Below are 20,468 nucleotides of genomic sequence, written 5' to 3'. Positions count from 1 at the left end.
TTTCTCTAACAGAGAAATTATTGTGAGATATTTGAATATTTTGCAGCAAGCATGTATTATTTATTAGTCAGAAAATAGCTATTTTCACTTTGAAAAAATTCTAGATATTAATTTTTGTCTTTTCTCTTTTGGACACTGAAAAAAATTCAACGTGTAATCATCTGTTTCATTTTGTCCTCCAGTGGCTCATCTATTTTTTATTTCTTAGATCAGTTAGCATTTATTAAGCACCTATCATGTGTTTAGCACTGTGGTTGTCACTAAAGAAACAGATAAATGAGACAATCTCTGACTCAAATGAAGAAGACGTGAATTTCACATGAAATAAGGTTTACAGATGCTCTGTTAGAGTAGATGCAAGATAAGGTGGGGGTCACAGAAGAGAGTGATCAATTTAAAATTATGAAACAATTCATGAATATGTGTGTCATTTTTGCAGGTATTCCATCCACTACAAAATTACAAATATCTTGAAACTGATTTTATGGCATATACTTTTAATATCATCTCCATAAGGCCCAGAGTCTAGCTGATGGTGTGCCAAGTATTCAAAAAAATACCTTGGCATTCAATCAAGATAGTCATTGCTGGAGTAGTGCTTTTCGAACTTTTGGAATTTAAGACTCACATTCAAATACTAGAATATGCAGTGGTACATTGGAATGGATTTAAAAATTCGAAGCACACTAAACAAGTAAGTAATAACTTCAGGCATAATAAGTTCTTTGTGTGTTTATAAAGTATCCAAGATAAGCTAGTCACATAGTTCCCCCTGAGCACTCAGTCAGTGTTAAGAGTAAAATGTTTATATTATAATAACACTCGTAGGTTAACTATATTTGTAGGAACACATATGTAATTCATATAGAATATATGTGTAAATACACTTACAGAATGCATACTCGTACATGCATATCCGGGAAGCAAAGATTTAGTAACCACATGCACCTTTTATTACTGCTTTGACGTTTTTTTACTTACCACAGACAGCAAATTGGATGAAAGAGCAACTATCCAAGTCAACATTTCATCAGAGCAGACACCAATAAAAGCTAATTCCCAACGTTTGACGGCACACCCCTACAGGGTGGAGTGCACACCACTAAAGGGTGTTTTACCAGAGACTATGTGCAGAAGCAGAATTGTCGCAAACGTATTGCATCTATTTGTTTTGTTAGCAGCAGCGAATCTGTACAGGTCTGCGGCAGTCTGAGTTATTGCCTCTTCCTCAGAAGAAGTTTGACCGAGGGGCATAAGGCAGAGTGAGAGACCAAGGCAAGTTTTAGGGCAGGAGTGTAAGTTTGTTAAAAAATTTTTTGAGCAGGAATAATAGGAAGTAAAGTACACTTAGAAGAGGGCCAAACGGGCGACTTGAGACGGTCAAGTGTGTGGTTTGACCTCTGACTTGGGGTTTTATACATTGGCATGCTTCGGGGGGTGCGTCCCTTCTCCCCTGATTCTTCCCTTGGGGTGGGCTGTCTGCATGCACAGTGGCCTGCCAGCACTTGGGAGGGGCTGCGTTTGCAGTGTGTTTACTAGAGTTGTGCGCATGCTCACTTGAGGTGTTTTTCCCTTACCAGTTGAGTGTTTAAACTCTGCCATTTTGCCTCTTAGTGACTTGAGGCATTTTTCCCTTACCAGTCTGGTGTTCCTAGAGGAAGGTCATATACCAGTTAAACTCTGCCATTTTGCCTCTTAGTGTGCATGCTTAAGCCCACTCGTCCAACTCCTGAGATCTTATCGGGAAGCTGCTCATCACCAGTTTCAGGTGTTTCTGTCTGATAGGAGAGGACCGTTCCCTGGCACCAGCTGCAACCAATTATTATTTTAGTGAGACAGCTTAACAACTGCGTGGCCGTCACCTGACATTCCTGGGAGGGCAGCAGCGTCTCCTGCTCTGCTCATTTCTGCCTGACTACCTACTGCAACACTTTCAGTGGAGCCAGTTAGTTGGTATCTTTGTTCGTATTTTTTCTTTTCTTTTCTTTTCTTTTTTGAGACGGAGTTTTGCTCTTGTTGCCCAGAGTAGAGTGCAATGGCACCATCTCAGCTCACCGCAACCTCGACCTGCCAGGTTCAAATGATTCTCCTGCCTCAACCTCCCGAGTAGCTAGGATTACAGGCATGCGCCACCACGCCCAGCTGATTTTGTATTTTTAGTAGAGAGGGGGTTTCTCCATGTTGGTCAGGCTGGTCTCCAACTCCCGACCTCAGGTGATCTGCCCACCTCGGCCTCCCAAAGTACTGGGATTACAGGCGTGAGGCACCACCCCAGGCCTGTTCATATTTTTGAAGTGATGATGGTACTTGGAAAAAAAATTATTGGAATAGTTTATTCAGGAAGTACTTGCCCCTTTTGTAAAGGTTTTCATATCTTATGCACGGAGAATGGTAGAACTCCCACTCTCCTGTTCTCATTTTCCTGTCATCAATCAGATGACACACTGAGTGAAGAAAAGAGGTATGACTGTAATCCCAGCACTTTGAGAGGCTGAGATGGGAGGATCACTTGAGGCCAGGAGTTTGAGACCAGCCTGGGCAACATAGCCAGACCATGTCTCTATTAAACAAACAAACAAAAAAAAAAAACAAAGGAAAGAAAATTAGGTGGAAGAAGAGAAGTAAAAGACAAGACAACTGAAGAACAGAAGAGAGAAAGGAGCTGAAATTTTGAATGTGAGTACAAGTGCCTCCGTTTCTTCATCTATCACTATGAAAATGTCAGGACATTCGTTGTTAGTAATGACTACTTGGAAAAAGAGTTCTTTGGGATGAATACGGCTATGTGCAACTTAGCTCGAATTACATTCTGCAATCTGTGAGACCAGTGAGACATTGTCCAGTTGAAAAGTCTCTAGGCTTAAATCAAGCTGTAGAGGGTCTATGTAGTCCAAGCTTTCGTTAAATGACTGTGCAATCTGGATCACATTATATGTCCTAAGTGTGTTCCAGTATCCCTATTTGTTGAAAAAAGGAGATGTGAGCTACCCGTCTCACACGCCTAATGTGAAAGTGTAAGAGACATTGAGTACATGAGACATTTCAGTACAAGTGTTCTGAAAAATTCAAAACCAATGCAAAATTCAGACCTCAGAACCAAATAAAGTTCATTTTTCCCCCACTAAACCATTAATGAATGACTTCAGTTAATAAAAGGGTGTGACTTGCCAAGGAATGGATTAGTATTCATTATAAAAATTACATTATAATTAATGCACTCATTAATGATCTACCAATCAATATCAATTGAAGGTCTATTATTTTAAGGAGGATGGGCAATTAGCAGTTTGACACCATGAGAAAGAGATAACCAGCTGACTGATGGGTCTCCATCAAGTTTAATTTTAATTTGTTTTAAAAGGATCTTCTTTAGGAGTGAGTTTAGATGCACATCACTCTTTCTTCTTTCAGAAAATGAATATATATGTTGTTTAAAAAGCATATCAGAATGACAAAGAATACAGTCTGGCATATGTAGCAAGAAATGAGCACATCTAAATGGGCTGGATGGTATGGTGTAAGTTCTATTCTCTCGCACAGTAATATAACTGGATTGCTCTTTAAAGTAAGTGAATTTGTATGTCCGCTTTCTCTTAATGGAATCAGTTTTGATATACTCTTTGTTCATGCTGTTACTGGCTTCAGTCTAAGGTTTCTTTGTATTAACTTTTTAAAGTTACATTACAAAGAGGTTTTAAGATTTCCCAATAGGCTTTTATTTAACTGAAGCTTTTGATCTCAAACCTGCTGGGGCCTAGTGAAATCCTTACCAATTCTCCAGTAACTCCTCACTATTGGAATTTGAAAAGACCCACCTGAAGGATTTAACTCCCTGTATGGCTTCAGCCACCCTTCAGATCGTGCTATTCAAGCAGACAGCGAGGGGTTCTAGTGTACCCTTTGTGATCGCTAAGCAGCCTAAGGTGTCCTTTGCAGAAGTTGTACTCCTGAGGAAATAAAAATCAGGAGGACACAGACCTATATACCTTGTTTCCTGCTATCTTCAGTTAAAGGGGGATAGCAGGGGTCTGCTTAACATCCTTTGCTACCTAAATACCTTTTGGACATGGGAACTCTATAAAAGAACTTTCATTGCATCCATTACCCTACTGCAGTGCATAACAAATTAGATTTAAAAGGCTACTTTTTTTCCCTTACAGCAATTTCCATCATTTTCTTTAAAATTTCAATTTAGTGTCTAGTGACAGAATATTCTATAATGTACTTTAAAACTCTATAATGTCAATTATGCTAACTGAATATTATTTCCAAAGAATTAGGCTTATGTTATTACAGAAAAATCTTAGTTTAAAAGATCAAGTAAAGAGAGAAGTAGAGAATTGATTCATGCTCAAAAGGTGTTAAATATAAAACTAGATAAAACAAATACTGTTTCTGGAAATCTTTTTAAAAATGCAAATACGCATTAATTTTCTATTTAACCCTCAACTCCCAGTTTTAGAACAATTTTGTATTTTAAGTTGAAAAACGTTAATGCCAAATATTAACCTATTTTTAGAAAGGGTAAAATAATTCTAAGAAAATTCCCAATTATAGTATTTAGATATCTTTATTTCATTTGAAAACTCCATCGTGCAGAGATTTTAGAACATGTAAACAACAGTAAGCATGAAAAGCAAATAAAACTTCATAAAGAACACAATATTTGCTGCTGTGTGTGGGGAGAACAGATGTAGCTATGCACCACTTCTCCTGTGTAAACATTTATCTTTGCCTTTCTATTAACCTGATGTAAAGCCTCTTCATTATTAAAAAATTATTTAAATTCTATGTTGATAAATAGAAATCAACTTATTCCTATGTTACTTCTTTGTATCGGATGTTACTATCTGGGACAAAGCCTCAAGTTAGCTTTACATCAAAGAACCAGAAAGAAATGTGTTTCCAGAAGTTGTAAAATGTTTGCCATTTAGTTCCACTGTGATTCGAGGACATATTCTCTCACACTGTACATGCGCCACATATTACTAGACCTCAGAGGTTCATCCATCTCAGGGTGGTTTCACCCCTTTGGGCTCTCGTGTAACTACAGAAAACCAGTCTTGAACAATCTCAATTCTGAACATGTGGTAGAGTTGTCAGAGAATGTTTTCAGTCTGGGTTTGAGGACTAACGTTACCATACCTGTAGAACATGACATAATTGTTTCATATCTTGATTTACTAATTTCCATAAACATTTGTTACACATCTCATTTGTAGATCTTTATGAGTAGCTGCCTAGTGGAATGTTATTTTCTGCATTTAATAATAACTGATTATATGAAGATAAGGTGATATGAATTCTTTCTCTGGAGAAATAGGGCTCAAAGACTTGCAGAACTGTGAGAATGGGGGAAATTATGAAAAAAATTTGGATTTTTATGGATAACATAATACAAATGTTACTTAAGATATGTTGTGTTCCAGTAATACTCTGCTCCTTTGTAAAAACAAACAAAGAAACAAACAAAAACTATGCATTTTTAATGTGTGGGCAAAAGGTTTAACAAAGTATTTCTCATAATCCAAAATTTACCCTCATCACTCTTATTCATAGTATAAATAGTTACAATTTTGGAGATAGTCTTGCAATATTTATCATTTTAAAAATATAGATCACCTTTGATTAAAAACATGACACTTTCAAAAATTTAGCCTCTAGGGATACTCACAAAATTGGTATAGCTGTACTTAGAAGAATGTTCATTAGAGCATTATGTGTGAGAATAAAAAATCATGGTCAATCTAAATGTCCATCAATGTGAGATTGTTAATAAGATATCAGATATCCTTGGTAACAGTACTATTGTGGTCTCATGCCTACGAAATGTCAAGAAGCAACTAGTTAATGGACACGGCAACCACTTTGAGTAGATGTTATTAATTTGACATTTATGGGTTTAGAAAGCAAAGCACAGATAAATTAAGTAACTTGTCAAAGTCACAGAATTACTAATGCTGGGGCTAGGATTCAAATGCAGCTAAGCCATTTGGTCCCAAAGCCCACGATCTTATCCCTTCTACTATGATGCCCATAGAGATTCCAAGAATGAGGCAGTTTTGACGGCTTCAAATGGAAAAGATGTCCAAGAATTATTAGACATAAAAAAAATGAAGTCACAAACAGAAGGTATAGTATGGTGTCATTTTGGTAAAAGTTATATACATATTAGAACACTTGGAGAGGAAATCTGAAGAATTATTCACCAGGTTGTTTATATGAGAGTTTCTGTGGGTGGGAGTCTCCAATTCTGTTTTATGTATCTGTAATATTTAGATATGTTATAAAAGTATATGATAACAATAGTTTTTTAAAATATCAAAATATAATTGGAAAATTAATAACAGCAGTGAATTATTTTATCAACATATGTAGTATTATTTTCAGAATCTCAAGTGCTGGCAGTCAGTTTGGCCTTTTTTTTTTTTAACAAAGCAGAAACAAATTGTATCACATAGAATGTTCATAATATGGACATTAATTATCACAGTTGGTGTTTGAGGGAGGCTGGTGTTCTATGATAAAGAAAGCTACAACACTGAGAGTTTTTTCCTATATAAGCAAATTTTGCAAGTGATTTGTCTTTTAACTATTGAATAAAAGTACTTTTTATCAATAGAGTTAAACTTATTTTTATTTCACATTCCCTGTATTAGAACATGAATATTTATTCTTTTAAAGCTTTTTATTTTTTGTGGAAAGAGGATTCTCTCAACCTTTCTAATATATAAAAACACTTACTCACATTTGCACTTATAAACTGCTTACATGGGCAAACATTGCATTCCAGGTTCCTAGGGAGGGAAATTCTGCATTTTATTCTGAAGTTACAAAAGATAATTAATACACTACTGGGCTAAGCACTAGGTTTAGGCTGGCTCTAGCCCTACTTTATGCATTTCAGCATTGAAAAAAAAATCAGTGATGGGTAATGCTATCAAAAATGCTAATCCAAAGCTTTGCTTATGGATATCATATTATTTTAAAAGGTAATAGAGAACATTCCCTGTAATCAAGGGTGAGTCAAGGAAAATGGCATCTAAGGGAGTATGTCAGCCAAACAGAAAACTTGACCCAACACCAAGCTCATTGTCAGAATCACAGCTGCCTCATCAACCAATGAGACTGAAAGGGAGGCAGCCGGTAAGTCAGGTGCCGAGGCTGGAAAGACTCTGTGCCAGACCCATTGGCAGTTGGCCCTTCAGCTGCTGTACAGCCTCGGTAGGGGCCCAGGGGTATTGAATCTGGTTTTGGACCACAGGAGGAGAGTGAAGTGAAGTACAACCAATATTGTCAACAGCAAGATCGTCAAGTGAGTCCTGATAATATATTCATGGAAAGATATATTGTTCTGCTTCTAGGTTCTGTAGGGAAGGAGGGCCCAGGGAGAATGCATGTTGCAACTCTGCAAGCAGAATCTACCCCTCTGCCCATAGAAGCTGGTTGTGGTTGTTCAGTTTTCCTTTAGCTTTTTGGTTTCATTTCTGCAAGTGGCATGTTTTGGTTGCTAAGCAAGGTGTTGCAAAATATGAGGTGAGATGTCAATATAACTTTAAAAGGGGAGATGTGGTCAGAAGGGACGTAATACTCAGATTTTAAGAAGAAAAAGGATTTTTGAATTTGGCATTATTAACAGAGAGCTGTCATGTTCCTTTCCCTCAACAGAGAAAATAAGTGACCCAAAATAGAAAATAAATGACCCTTTCTGTGATTAGCAACTCACTGTGTTTGTTTAGTGTCAAGAATGCTATTAGTAACTAATAAAAATTTATAATCATGAGATCACCTCCCCAAACAAAAATGAATAAACAGAGAATACATCTTTATAGCAAGTCTAATGACACCTTTGCAGCTAAGGAGTCTGGACCTAGCAGAGTATCCTGCATGCCTAGAGCAGGCATTTCATAAATGTTGAAAAATGAGTGTTGTTTGCTGAATATTGAACTTGCCTTTGCAGTCTATATCCCTCCCCAAATAATCAGCCTGTTGTATGACCTCCAGATTTATATTATTGCACCGTCACTTTGGTGCTGAGATTTGGCATAATTACTTTAGGAAAATATCCCTTATTGATACACACATTAGTCCACTGTAGTGAGTGGCACCTGGTATGGGACCCTAAACCTGATACATTCTCAATAAATGCTTGTTAACCTGAATAGTCACTAGGAATTGTGAGACATTATGGGGAGTGTGAAAGACATTATAATTTCTTATCATTTATTTACTTGCTTATTTTTACTTTTTTGAAGATGGGTTTTTAAATGTTTTTAATTTTCTACCAGCTTTATTGAGGTATAATCGGCACATAATAATATATATTTAAAGTATACAATATAATGTTTTGATGTATGTACACATTATGAAATGATTACCACAATCAAGCTAATGAACAAATCCATCACTTCACATAGTTACCTTTATGTGTGTATGGTGAGACACTAGAGGTTTATTCTCTTAGCAAATTTCAAGCACACAATACATTATTATTTAAACTACAGTCACCATGCTGTACATTAGGTATCCAGAACCTATGCATCTTAGAACTGCAAGTTTGTACCCTTTGACCAATATCTCCCCCTTTCCATCAGTTCTTACCTTTTAATGGGAGCTATGGAAGGTACAGGACAAATACAAATGAAATATAATAGAAATATACTAACATATAAATAACTTTGGAAAGTATCATGTACATATGCAGACATAAGAGGCATTTGTTGTGGCCAGGGGTTAACTTTCCAGATGGAAGTTATGGAAGAGATGGCTAGAATTTATGATAACTGCTAGCATTCATTAAACAATTTCTACTGGCCATGCACAATGCTTTAGATGTATTGATTATCTTACTTGATTTTCACTACAAACTTAAAGTAGGTAATACTATTTTTTCCATTTTATAGATATGAAAACTAGGGCTCACATTGACAAATTAATTGTCCAAAATTAGTAGGGAGGCAAGCCGAGGTCTGCACTCAGAAAATCTGGCTCAGAGACTTCATATAAGGACATATAATCATATGAAAAAACAGGAACCTTATGGTCATAAATCTTGAAGTCTTGGCACATTCTTCAGGCATAACCACAGCTGCATATTTAGGACTTAGTTGAGAACTGGGATATCATTCGGCTAAGAGTGTATCTCTAGGAACTCAGTTCACTTTTTGTCCTGTTGGGGGCCAAGAAATTGAGACCCCCAAAATATGGCACTTTGGTGTGATAAGTACCTTGAACTATGGAAATTGGAATGCCTCAGAAACAGCCTCAGAAGCAAAGTCTCTCTCTGACTTTCTCTTGCCTTTCTGTCTCCCGCTCCTCTTTCTCTTCTAAAATGAGTCACAGAAACTAGAATTCCTCCTTCCTTAAGGTGAGTCATAGAAAGGAGAACCTCTTTCCTCTAAGCAAACCACAACATGTAGAAATATGACTTGAATCTTCTCCACCTTTCTGTCTAGGATCTGGTCAGAAGAGATTTTCTGACCTAATATGTCCAATAGTCGTAAGACCTCATTCCAGAGGGCTCCTGCCTGATACCCAGGAGGAAAGAACGCTACACAAAGGAGCCAAGAATCTGAACACACAGGCCTTGCTGGGTTCCCCCTCTGTCTGTTACTGTTAGGTTATTCATTTTTTATCCAATTGCATTTCAACATGGCTGTCCACTCTTCATGGAATCTAAGATTAAAAATTGACACTTTTCCCTGGGTCTTGGGTCTTCATTCTGAAGGCTCCTGCATCATGTAAAACTTTGATAAAATAAATTTGCTATGCTTTTCTCTCGTGAACCTGTCTTTATCATAGGAGTGTTGGCCGTGACCCTTAGGGGAGTGAGGAAAGGGATCACCCCTTTCTCCCCCGGTCTCCTCACAGCCAGGGTTTGCAGTTGTCCTTTCTTGATTGTCACTATCCTCGTGAGGTTCTCCGTCCCTGCTCTTGTAGGAACGCTGCTCCTTGCCATTGCCTACCCTGATGCCTCACATTCATATGCCTTGGAAACAGGCTTGGGGATCACATACACTGTGCTCATGTCTCTGTCTCTCTGTCAAGTGACTCTGTCTCCAGGACACGTCAGAGACCCAGGCCCTCAGGAGGCATCAGTCTTTGAGTAAAGCTGAGGTCATGTAGAATTGGCATGGCCGGGTGTGACGGTTACTTTTCTATGTCAACTTGGCTAGGCCATGATAGCTAGTTTTTGGTTAAACATCAGTCTAGATGTTTCTGTGAAGCTGTTTTTTAAACGTGATTAACATCTAAGTTAGTAGACTTTGAGTAAAGCCGATTACCCTCCATAATGGGAGTATGGAGTTCTCCTCCAATCAGTCGAAGGCCTGAAGAGAAAAGACTGAGGTCTCCTGGGAAAGAGGGAATTCAGCCTCCAGACTGTCTTCAGGCTCAAGATATAATACCAACTCTTTCTTGGGTCTCCAGCCTTTGGCTTGCCCTGAAGATTTCAGACTTGCTAGCCCCCACAATTGCATGAGCCAATTCCTTAAATCTGTCTCTGTCTCTCTCTCTCTTTCTCCACACACGGACCCACACCCACAAACACGCATATATACACACATATATACACACCCATATATCCTGTTGGTTCTGTTTCCCTGGAGAATCCTGACTAATAGACCAGGGTAGTAGGTTCATGAAGATAGTGACCTTTGATAAGAAAACGCATTGTGTTCAATATAATGAGAAGCGATAAGAATGAAAACTAACTAGTTGATCTGAGAAATGAGTGACAAGACTAAGAATACCTTAAATAAATAAACATGAGATTGCTTTGAGTTGGCACATGGAGTATCAGACAGTCAATCATAAGAAAAGTTCCATTATATCTAAAGCTGGTGCTTCCAGCGACAGAAAAACAAGGAGGATGGCTTAGTAGAAATTCAGCTAGTGACAGGGATGGGGATCTTAGTTTTATTCAGCATCTACTAGATATCAGGCCCTTTTGTGTACCTGAACTCATTTAATTATTATAATATCCTGCTTTGTCAGAGCCTGAAATGTAAGGGGATCAAGTAACTTGCAACTGATTTCCTTAGAAAGTGAGTGATGGACTTTCTTTGTGACTATGGATACCTCAAAGTTGCTCTTTGCTTGTTTGTTGCCTTGCCCTTGCCGCAGAGCTTCTGTACATGTTATTATGCCCTCAGTGTGGACAGCTGCCCCTAGTTCATGCTTCCTCATCTCTTAAATAGGGGCCTGAACACTCTCTTCAAGAACTCATTTTCTGTTCTCATCCAGGCTGGCTCAGGACCCCTTATTTTTGCTCTCCAAGCCCCTAGCACTTTTTTTTCCTTCATAGCACATGTCATTATGTGTTTGTGGGCGATTACTTTTTAAATTAAATCTCTACAATAGACTGTAAGTTGCATGAAAACAGGGAACTGCATCTATTTTTTTTATCATTGTATCTCCAGGGCCTAGTGTACTACTTAGAGCATGGTAGTGACTCAATAAATATATGTTGAATAAATACATTTAAATGAATTTGAAATCAAGTATGTCTGAGGGCAAAACTCATGCTCTTTTCCATTGGATCATATTGCTTTTTGATTCTTTCAAGTAAACACTTAAAGATTTCTGACTTTTTTGAAAAGAAATAGGAAAGCACCTGACCTTTTATTCTAAGCTCTATCCCAATTCAAACACTAAAAAGAAGCCCCCATTCTTTAAACAGTACCTCAATGTTATTTTATTATCAGTGGAATTTATCTTCTCAGGCACAAAACCTTAGAATGTGATCTGGCTTTTCTCTTCTTCTGTTTTACCCCAGCAAACCAGGTTTTAAAACATATATACAAAATGTGTGACAGTGATTTTTCTTGATCTAGGGTAACGGCTTTAAAAGAATCATTAAAACAGGTACCTCAAATATATCTTTGAATAAAGAGTGATTAGTTCAAGAAGAATTAGAAACACGCAGATATATGGAAATGTCCTTAATGAGCCTGAGTGAGAACATTAGTTGAACCTGTATATTTAAAGCACTCGAACCAAACATATCAAAATTCCAGTAATCCATGTTTATTGATTATGAATGTCATGTAAATATATCTTGTAGGAAATAAAATATTCACACTATTCAATGTCAGATTGCATCTCAGTGACATGGGTTTTTGTTGTTGTTGTTGTTGTTGTTTGTTTGTTTGTTTTTTTCTTTGAGACGGAGTTTCACTCTTGTTGCCCAGGCTAGAGTGCAGTGGCATGATCTCAGCTCACTGAAATCTCTCCTCCAGGGTGAAAGTGATTCTCCTGCCTCAGCCTCCCAAGTAACTGGGATTACAGGTGTGTGCCACCACGTCCGCCTGATTTTGTATTTTTAGTAGAGACAGGGTTTTGCCATGTAGACCAGGCTAATCTCGAACTCCTGACCTCAGGTGATCCACCCGCCTCAGCCTCCAAAAGTGTTGGGATTACAGGCGTGAGCCACTGCACCTGACGGAACATGGGTTTTTAATACCTTAATTCTGCTGGTGTTTTTGGTTCTCCAGGAGAAAGTGCAAAGCTAAACATCAAAGTGTATACAATCAAAGATCACATCTTCTATACTTTTTATTTGCCTTGCCCATTTACTAAAGCGTTTTCCAGATTTTGGAAAGTTTAAGCACTACATGTTTCACCACACTGTAGCATGTATTTCAAACTTATCAGGTAACCTCGAACAGTATTCATGTATTAAAGGTTCAGTTTTAAGTTTATATTCTCAGTATCTTGGTAACCCAGCATATATATGTTAAATTTTCCAGTAACACATTTAAAAGATCTTACCTGGGTGTGTTGATCTGGCACATATCTCTGGTCCCAGCTACTTGGGAGGCTGAGGCTAGAAGATCACTTGAAGCCAGGAGTTTGAGGCTAAACTGTGCTATTATTGTGCCTGCAAATAGTCCCTACACTCCAGCCTGTGCGACATAGTAAGACCCAGTCTCTTGATAAAAACAATACAAAAAACAAAACTGACGATGCACAAAATTCAGATGGAACTCAAAATTCAGTTTTGCTTTTCCAAATTCATATTTTAATTGGTCTAGCCTAAGTATGTGTTCTGTACAAACCTAATTAATCCTTAATAGATAATTCTTTGTCAGTTAGGAATGTGCTCAGCTGTAAGTAACAGAAAAGCTTAAAACATGCATTAAATAAAGAGTTTCCTTATTTCCCTTAGCAAAATGACTGGGGGTAGATAGCTCCTTGGATAAATAGTCTAACAATGTCAGGACAGTTGTCAATACAATTCTCTTGGCTCATCCCTTGGCCATATTGTCTCATGGCAGCAAGATGGCTGCTATACTTCCAGACTCAAGAAATCCATATTATCCTTCCCACCATACCTCACTGCATGCATCTGTGTCACACGGCCATTCCTAGCATCAAAGGAATCAGGAAAGTATTGAGATGAGTGTATTGTTCTTCTCATCAAAATTGGTATTCTTTCACTTTTATTTATTTATTTATTTATTTATTATATTTAAGATCAGTCAAATGTAACAGTAGGAAAAGAGAAGGAACAAAGAAATCTGTAACTGGTTGTGATTAATTAGTTGTAAATACTACTACACTCAAACCAGAATTTTTTTTTTTTTTTTTTTTTTTTGAGACAGAGTCTTACTCTGTCACCTAGACTGGAGTGCAGTGGTGCCATCTTGGCTCACTGCAAACTCCATCTCACAGGTTCAGGCAATTCTCATGCCTCAGCCTCCCAAGTAGCTAGGATTACAGGTGTGCAACACCAAGCCTGGCTAATTTTTTTGTATTTTTAGTAGATGGGGTTTCAACATGTTGGCCAGGCTGGTTTTGAACTCCTGACCTCAGGTGATCCTCCTGCCTCGGCTTCCCAAAGTGCTAGGATTACAGGTGTGAGCCACTGCACCCAACCTCAAACCAGGTATTCATTTTGTGAAGGAAGGAGGAAGAAAACGGATATTGGAGAGTCAATGAATGATGCTTTCCCCAGATACCTTTGAAAACAAACCTTGTTTTGATTGATGTCCCTGCCAATTAGTGAAGTCCCATCATCCAGGTGCAGAGGCTAGATGACGGTGTGACAAGGGAGGTCCTAGCATGTCTCTTTCTCTTCTCTGTTACCATGTCAAAGAATCTGGGTTTTTATTGTTGGTGGAAGAAACCTTGGCAGTTGCTTACTATAACCCCCCATTTTATTCATGATGAAATAGACAACTAGAGAGCATAAATCAGTCATCAAGATTATAAAATTAGTTAGTGGCAGATCTAGAACAAACCCACAAATTTCCTGATTCAGGCCAGGACTTTTTTTGTGTACCACACTGTCTCTTTTTATTGTTGGCCTCTTGGTCCTGCATAATTTGTCTAGAGTGGAGATTTGGAATTGTGGCTCCACTGAATTCCCTCTCTGTAGGTGTTCCCCACATTCAGAATCCCACATTCTCCAACTGGAATCCCCAAAATTAGTATTTCCAACCCTTCCTTACAGTTGGTTACAGAAATATAAATGTAAGCTAATACGATTTCAATAAGTGTTAGTTCTTTTTTTTTTAGCTGTGACAAGTGGCAGCAAGAGCAATACATATTAGTTCTAATTCCACGTATCTTTGCTGTAATTAATGAAAATGTGACATTCTACGATTTTAAATTGGGTTCATAATTTCTATTTACCATGTTTTACTTTGTTTTTTCCCCCAGTCTTATTTAATTATTTTTCATGTTCTTTGTTTTTAAATGGAAGTTATATATTTTGTTTCTATTTTCAATGGTTTCTCACAGGTTTTTAACAAGCGCACATGACTCGTTTGTTTTAATGTCTAATCATTACAGTCTTCCACTATCAATATATTATTTCACTTTTCATTTTTTTACCCTCTGTACTAAGCCATTATTATTTTTACTTCAGTATTTACTTGAATGTTTTCTAATTTCTTTGATCATTGTAATTTGTACCTTTCCTTTCTTCTGGTTCAGTGTTCTTACTGAAGTATACCGTTGGTGGTTCTTTCACTGAGGAATCTGAAGACGATAAACTCTACCAGTCTTTATTCAAAAATCTCTTTATCATATTCTTAATCTTTAATTTAGTTGGATATACAATTCTAAGATTTTTGTTTTTTCATAGCACTTTGAGGATATTATTCTGTTTCCTGCTGGTTCTGTTTTTGCTGACAAAAATTCTGTTTCAGTCTAACTTGTTCTTCAGATAATCTGAGTTTTCTTTGTGGTTGTTTTTAATATATATGTGTATTTTTAACTTTAGTATTATTTATGTTTACTATGATGTCTTTAGCTATGAATTTATTTTCATTTATTTCATGTCTGTATAACTCTCATTGGATAATGTTTGACCATCTTATTCTTTCCTTCATGTCTCTTAGCATTTTTTTTTTTTTTTAAATTTGAGATGGGTGTCTCACTGTGTTGCTTAAGCTGGTCTCGAATTCCTGGGCACAAGTGATCCTCCTGCCTCAGCCTCTTAAGTAGCTGGGATTACAGATATGAGCCAATATGCCGAGTTTTTAGCATTTAAAAAAATTATATATGTGTTTATTTATTTATTCTGTACTAATTGGAAGTAATTTATTTAGATCTACCTTCCAGTTCACACGTTAGTTCTTTAGCTACTGATTAGCCTGTCCATTAAGGATTTTAATTTTAATAAACATACTTCTCACTTCGGCAAGTTTTATTTGGCTATTTTTCAAATTTGCCTTTCCTTTTTTCATTGTGTTCTGTTCTTTCATTTTTATGGTGATTCTGTCTTTTATCTATTTTATCATTCTAAGCATACTTATTTTATGGTGTCTCTCAGACTGTTTTATGACATTAAGTTATTAGGGTTCTAATCCTCCTGTTTCTTGAGTCTTCTGACTTTCCCTTACGAAAAATTGCTTGTGTGGCTTGCCTTTTTTTATTTTGAACTTTTCTTCCTCTGTGGGATTCTTGGACACACCAGGTTGTGTCAGTGACCGTAAACATAGGTTTTGGGGTTTGCTTTTGTCAAGTTTATTTCCTTTATTTGTACATTAGATTCTTTATTTGAGATTTTAAAGTAACTCAGGACTATAAATGCGTACTCTCTATGTGCATGAGGTGCATCTGAGGGAGTTTTAATATTTGCTGATTTTTTTCTTCTTTTGTAGCGAGCAGAAACAAATTTCCTTGTTGCTTACTTGAAGTAATATTTCTCACATTTACTATGTCCTTTCATGTGCTCACTACTCTAACCATACTTTTTCTTTATTTCTGATGCAGGCAACTTTATTCTGTCTTTCAAACTCAACTATGTATTCCATTTCTTTTTGTCATATTTCATCCAGCATTTCCATGAGTTAGAGGAGAAAGTTGTTTGTGTTAGTTTGGCTTGCTGTGTTGCTAGAAACAAAAAGCTCATTATTATTATTGTTATGTATTAATTTGACCAAAGCACTATTTATTAAAAGACTGCTGCAATTCTTACTATTCTTGTCATTTTTAGGTGATTTTTAAGAACAGAATCATATGATTTCTGGGATCAAATCCACAGCTAATCCAAGTTGCAACATTTCCATATTGTTTTTGATGACTGGGTTTCATACTTAGATTAAACTCATGGCATACAGATGGAAAGAAATAGCTTTTATAAATTGATATCCATCACACACTATTTTGAATTCCTTTGACCAAAACAATGTCAGAATTTTAGCTATAGAGTTTTTGAATATTTATTTTTCTTCATTCCTTTATGATTCCTATTTTAATTTTACCTGCATCCACCCTTTTCTTCTCCTGTTATAGCCCCCAGATTGGAAGAGGTGAAAGGAAGACAGTAAAAGAATCTGTGAGAAACAACAGAAAAAAAAAGTTATAAATTGGCAGAAGGAAAGAAATTTTAAAAGATTAAAGAGAAGAGAAAATACAATGATGGTATCCCAAAAGGGCATGAATAAAGAAGCTATGGGTCAATGCAAAGAGAAAGGGGCCGGAGGTGCTGGATAGGGAAAGTGAGCGCATTGGGGGTGATGAAGAAATAGCGGAACAGCATCCTTGGTGCCTACTGGGTGCTGGATGTACGTAGTCCTAGGCACTTTTCAACCTTACTTCCAGTGTAGCTTCAACAAATGCATGGACTGTGAATAAGTATTCCATTTGGTAAATCAATTAAGTCAGATAAGTGAAATAACTCATCCAAGATCTGAAGAGTCAGTAAAAACCAGAGCCAAAATTCACCCCAAATCTGTGTGCTTTCACCAAAAACTAGGGCGGGCTTGGAAAGGTCACTCTGCACCCTCGCTGGAGCGGAGGCCAGATGCCCTACTTCTTTCTTCTTATCTTTGCCAGCTAATTACATCTCTGATTAGTGTGGGACAAAGGAAAATGCACAGAAGAGAAGCCTGACAGGGGTGAGAAGGGAATGGCTGGGAGAAAGGAAGATGATTCATTTCTAAGTTCTTTGTCCTCTAGAAAGGCAATAGGCCTCCTAGGAAGAAAATCTGTGTCTATGGAGACAAGTCGGGCCTTGAAGAAAGTGTCACCCAGAGGCAAAAGGGAACAGAAGAGGTGCAGCCTTTTCAGACCTCCCTACCTCAGCAAGCCACAAAAAAAAGTCATAAAAGCCCTTCAGATTTCTTCCTCTTCACTCACAGCATTGCATACTGGCCTGTCCAGTATTGCCCTGTCAGACCCCGCCTCTTTTGAGAGCAGCATATTAACCAGCCAGGGTTTCTTGAGCCTCTGAGGGGTGCATAGGACTCTGTGTCACATCTTGTTTAAGACCAGAACAGCACTTTGGGAGGCCGAGGCGGGTGAATCACGAGGTCAGGAGATCGAGACCATCCTGGCTAACACGGTGAAACTCCGTCTCTACTAAAGATACAAAAAATTAGCCGGGCATGGTGGCGGGCGCCTGTGGTCCCAGCTACTCGGGAGGCTGAGGCAGGAGAATAGCGTGGACCCGGGAGGCGGAGCTTGCAGTGAGCAGAGACCGCGCGCCACTGCCCTCCAGCCTGGGCGACAGAGCGAGACTCCGTCTCAAAAAAACAAAACAAAAAAAAGACCAGAACAACTGAAATAGGGTGTGGGCAATACTCATCAAAAAACTGGTATTAGGCAGCAATTAAAAAAAAAAAAAAAGCAAATACCCTTTTCCCACTGATGACACTGAGTATCATGTCTCCACGTTGCTAGCAGCGGAATGAAAGTCATGTCCTGTACATGGTGAGGGAAACTCACCTTGTCGTTAAAGTTCAAAAGTCAAAATCCCCTTCCTTTTTAAGAAAATATTTTAAAACTTTCTTGCTACTTTTTTTTTTAAAATCACCATTTCCATTGTGTGATTTTTTTTTCCAGAGATGGAAGTAAAGGTCATTTTTAATTCCAAAATTCTAGTTTAGTGTTATCTCGAATCAACTCTTGATAAACCCATCATTTAAAATGGTCTATTCTAATTAGAGACCAATCTGAGGCTTTTAACCGGCTCTGTCTTAGGTGCATGTAAAGCCTGCTAAATATTTCGGAGGGCGGGTGAACTTCCCTTTACAAATCTTAACTTGTCTACACTTTTGAACTCCCTTTCCCTTTTAAACCTACCTAGGTTAAAAATTAAGCCCCTACGGAGAAGGGCACCTGTATTTGCTCACCCTATTATGCAGCTATCCTGAAATGCATTGCAGCTGTCTAAATTAGCATAATTAAGTCCACATCAATTAAAAACCTCAATCACCTCTCTCCCCTTCACATGTAGATGATGACATTTGTCTAAGGTGGGAAGTAACAAAGAAACTTTTTACCCGTTGAAGACCTGGCTGAAAAGAAGGGTAATCAGATTGATCTATTGTCCCAGGTTTACCTTAACACTAGGAGAAGTGGTCCATGAATGCCGCCTGGCCAAAGTAGGATGTAGTTTGCATTTCAATGCCACTAGCACGCAGGGCCGGCCATTGAAGATGCGCGTTTTACAACAGGCCTCTCCTCTAGTGCTCTTTAGCCTCCAGTAATGAGGATAAACAAAGCACCATTATGACTTTGGTGGTGCTAGTTGTTATTTTTAAACTGGGGAAGCCTAGTGACCTTAGGATAGTGACAAGACTACACCGTGTGGTGCAGGCAAAGAAAATTCCTAGAGATGAAAACTGACATGGGGTCCAGGGGTTAATTTCTGGAACAGACAAATTTGCATACAAATGAAAAATGATGGGATTTCTGTTCTCCTAAATTTTCAGTGTCATCAGCATCAAACAGCAGCCTGTGCTCCCTTGCTGTTTGAAGAATACTCATTACTTTAGAAGATGGGGCACCTTGTTTGGTGTTCAACTCAATGCGGGTCAATGACTTAATTTGTGCAATTTCTTGGAGACTGAGTTTTCTGTGCATCTTTGTAATTCTTCTAAATATGGCTTGAGTAATATTTATTTTTATAGTTATAGACTTCTCTGAATAAACACTAACGTGTGGTTGACTTCCTTTGAGCATTCACCTTTTTTATCCTCAGGAGGTGTTTAACGACACATAGCTGACTTTTTCTTTGTACGAGATTGCAGAGGAGGACAAGTTGGTCTATGTCAAAAGTTACTAGATACAAGAGATACAGGACACGACAATGCTTATGATTTTCCCCAAAGCATATGAAATTTCTTCATCCTGACTTAGTTATTTGTGCTTTTTTGATGACACAATTCATACCTGCTCATTTTTATAATTTTAGTGTCAAAAGACAAAATTATAACAAATTTAGAGATCAAATTGGCTTTCATTAGTCATTCATTAATCCAGCCGCATTCCATCTAAATATTTAGAAAAGGCGCCCCAAGCAGAGGAAGTTGGCTTTATACACAGAAAAGGGCTGAAGAAAGCAGACACAGAACCAGAATGGGTTGGTCATTTCAAAGTTACTTTCCTTAGTGCTGAAACGGAGGGCATGTTCTTATCATGCTGGCTCAGGTAAATTAGGTTCATTCTGATTGGTTGCTGTGAAGCTGCTGTTTTTTTGCTTGTGTGAGTGTGTGTGTGTTTTAAACTGGCCCCTTTAAAATTTCAGTTTGATTGTGTGGCACCTAGCATGAGTGACTCTATTCTGGTTTGCTCTGGTCTGCTAGGACCTAGTGCAGGAGCTCCGTTCAAAACAATGGTCTCCCCTAAATGTCATTTAACATTAGAAAAATATAAATACGCAAAAAGAAGAGAATAAAAATCCTTGAGTCCCAGTTCCCCGAGATGACTGCCAGGTAATAATTTTTAGTATGTATTCTTTCTCATCCCCTTTTCCCATCTGTTATTACTTTTAAGTATCAGCTCATTGAAGGCAGGGAGGTGGTCTGGTGTGCTCTGAGCTAAGGCTGTCCTTAAGGAAATGGTGCTGGTGGCAACTTTTAATGAGTCAGGCCCTCTCTCCCGCTTCTCCACGATAGCGCTAGTTATCTGTGAGACCCTAGATAACTTTCTGAAACCCCTGAATTTTCTTTTCTGAAATACAGATCACTCTAGATGCTGCTATAAATTAATGATTGCATCATGCATAAACT

The 20,468-nt window shown here is 37.9% G+C and overlaps 3 annotated features.

Annotated features, from left to right (window-relative positions):
* Positions 3,617-4,175: an enhancer, noted in NCBI's record as "OCT4-NANOG hESC enhancer chr2:144664226-144664784 (GRCh37/hg19 assembly coordinates)". NCBI's record gives its function as "activates a minimal SCP1, AML or CMV promoter by ChIP-STARR-seq in naive and primed H9 embryonic stem cells {active_cell/tissue: H9 hESC(naive and primed)}" and the evidence as "EXISTENCE:reporter gene assay evidence [ECO:0000049][PMID:30033119]".
* Positions 18,383-18,887: an enhancer, noted in NCBI's record as "OCT4-NANOG-H3K4me1 hESC enhancer chr2:144649514-144650018 (GRCh37/hg19 assembly coordinates)". NCBI's record gives its function as "activates a minimal SCP1, AML or CMV promoter by ChIP-STARR-seq in naive and primed H9 embryonic stem cells {active_cell/tissue: H9 hESC(naive and primed)}" and the evidence as "EXISTENCE:reporter gene assay evidence [ECO:0000049][PMID:30033119]".
* Positions 18,888-19,393: an enhancer, noted in NCBI's record as "OCT4-NANOG hESC enhancer chr2:144649008-144649513 (GRCh37/hg19 assembly coordinates)". NCBI's record gives its function as "activates a minimal SCP1, AML or CMV promoter by ChIP-STARR-seq in naive and primed H9 embryonic stem cells {active_cell/tissue: H9 hESC(naive and primed)}" and the evidence as "EXISTENCE:reporter gene assay evidence [ECO:0000049][PMID:30033119]".

The sequence above is a fragment of the Homo sapiens genome, chromosome 2 (assembly GCF_000001405.40).
Source record: "Homo sapiens chromosome 2, GRCh38.p14 Primary Assembly".
Lineage (NCBI taxonomy): Eukaryota > Metazoa > Chordata > Mammalia > Primates > Hominidae > Homo > Homo sapiens.
Note: the sequence above shows the minus strand (reverse complement) of the source record. Positions and strands in the feature narration are given on the sequence as shown.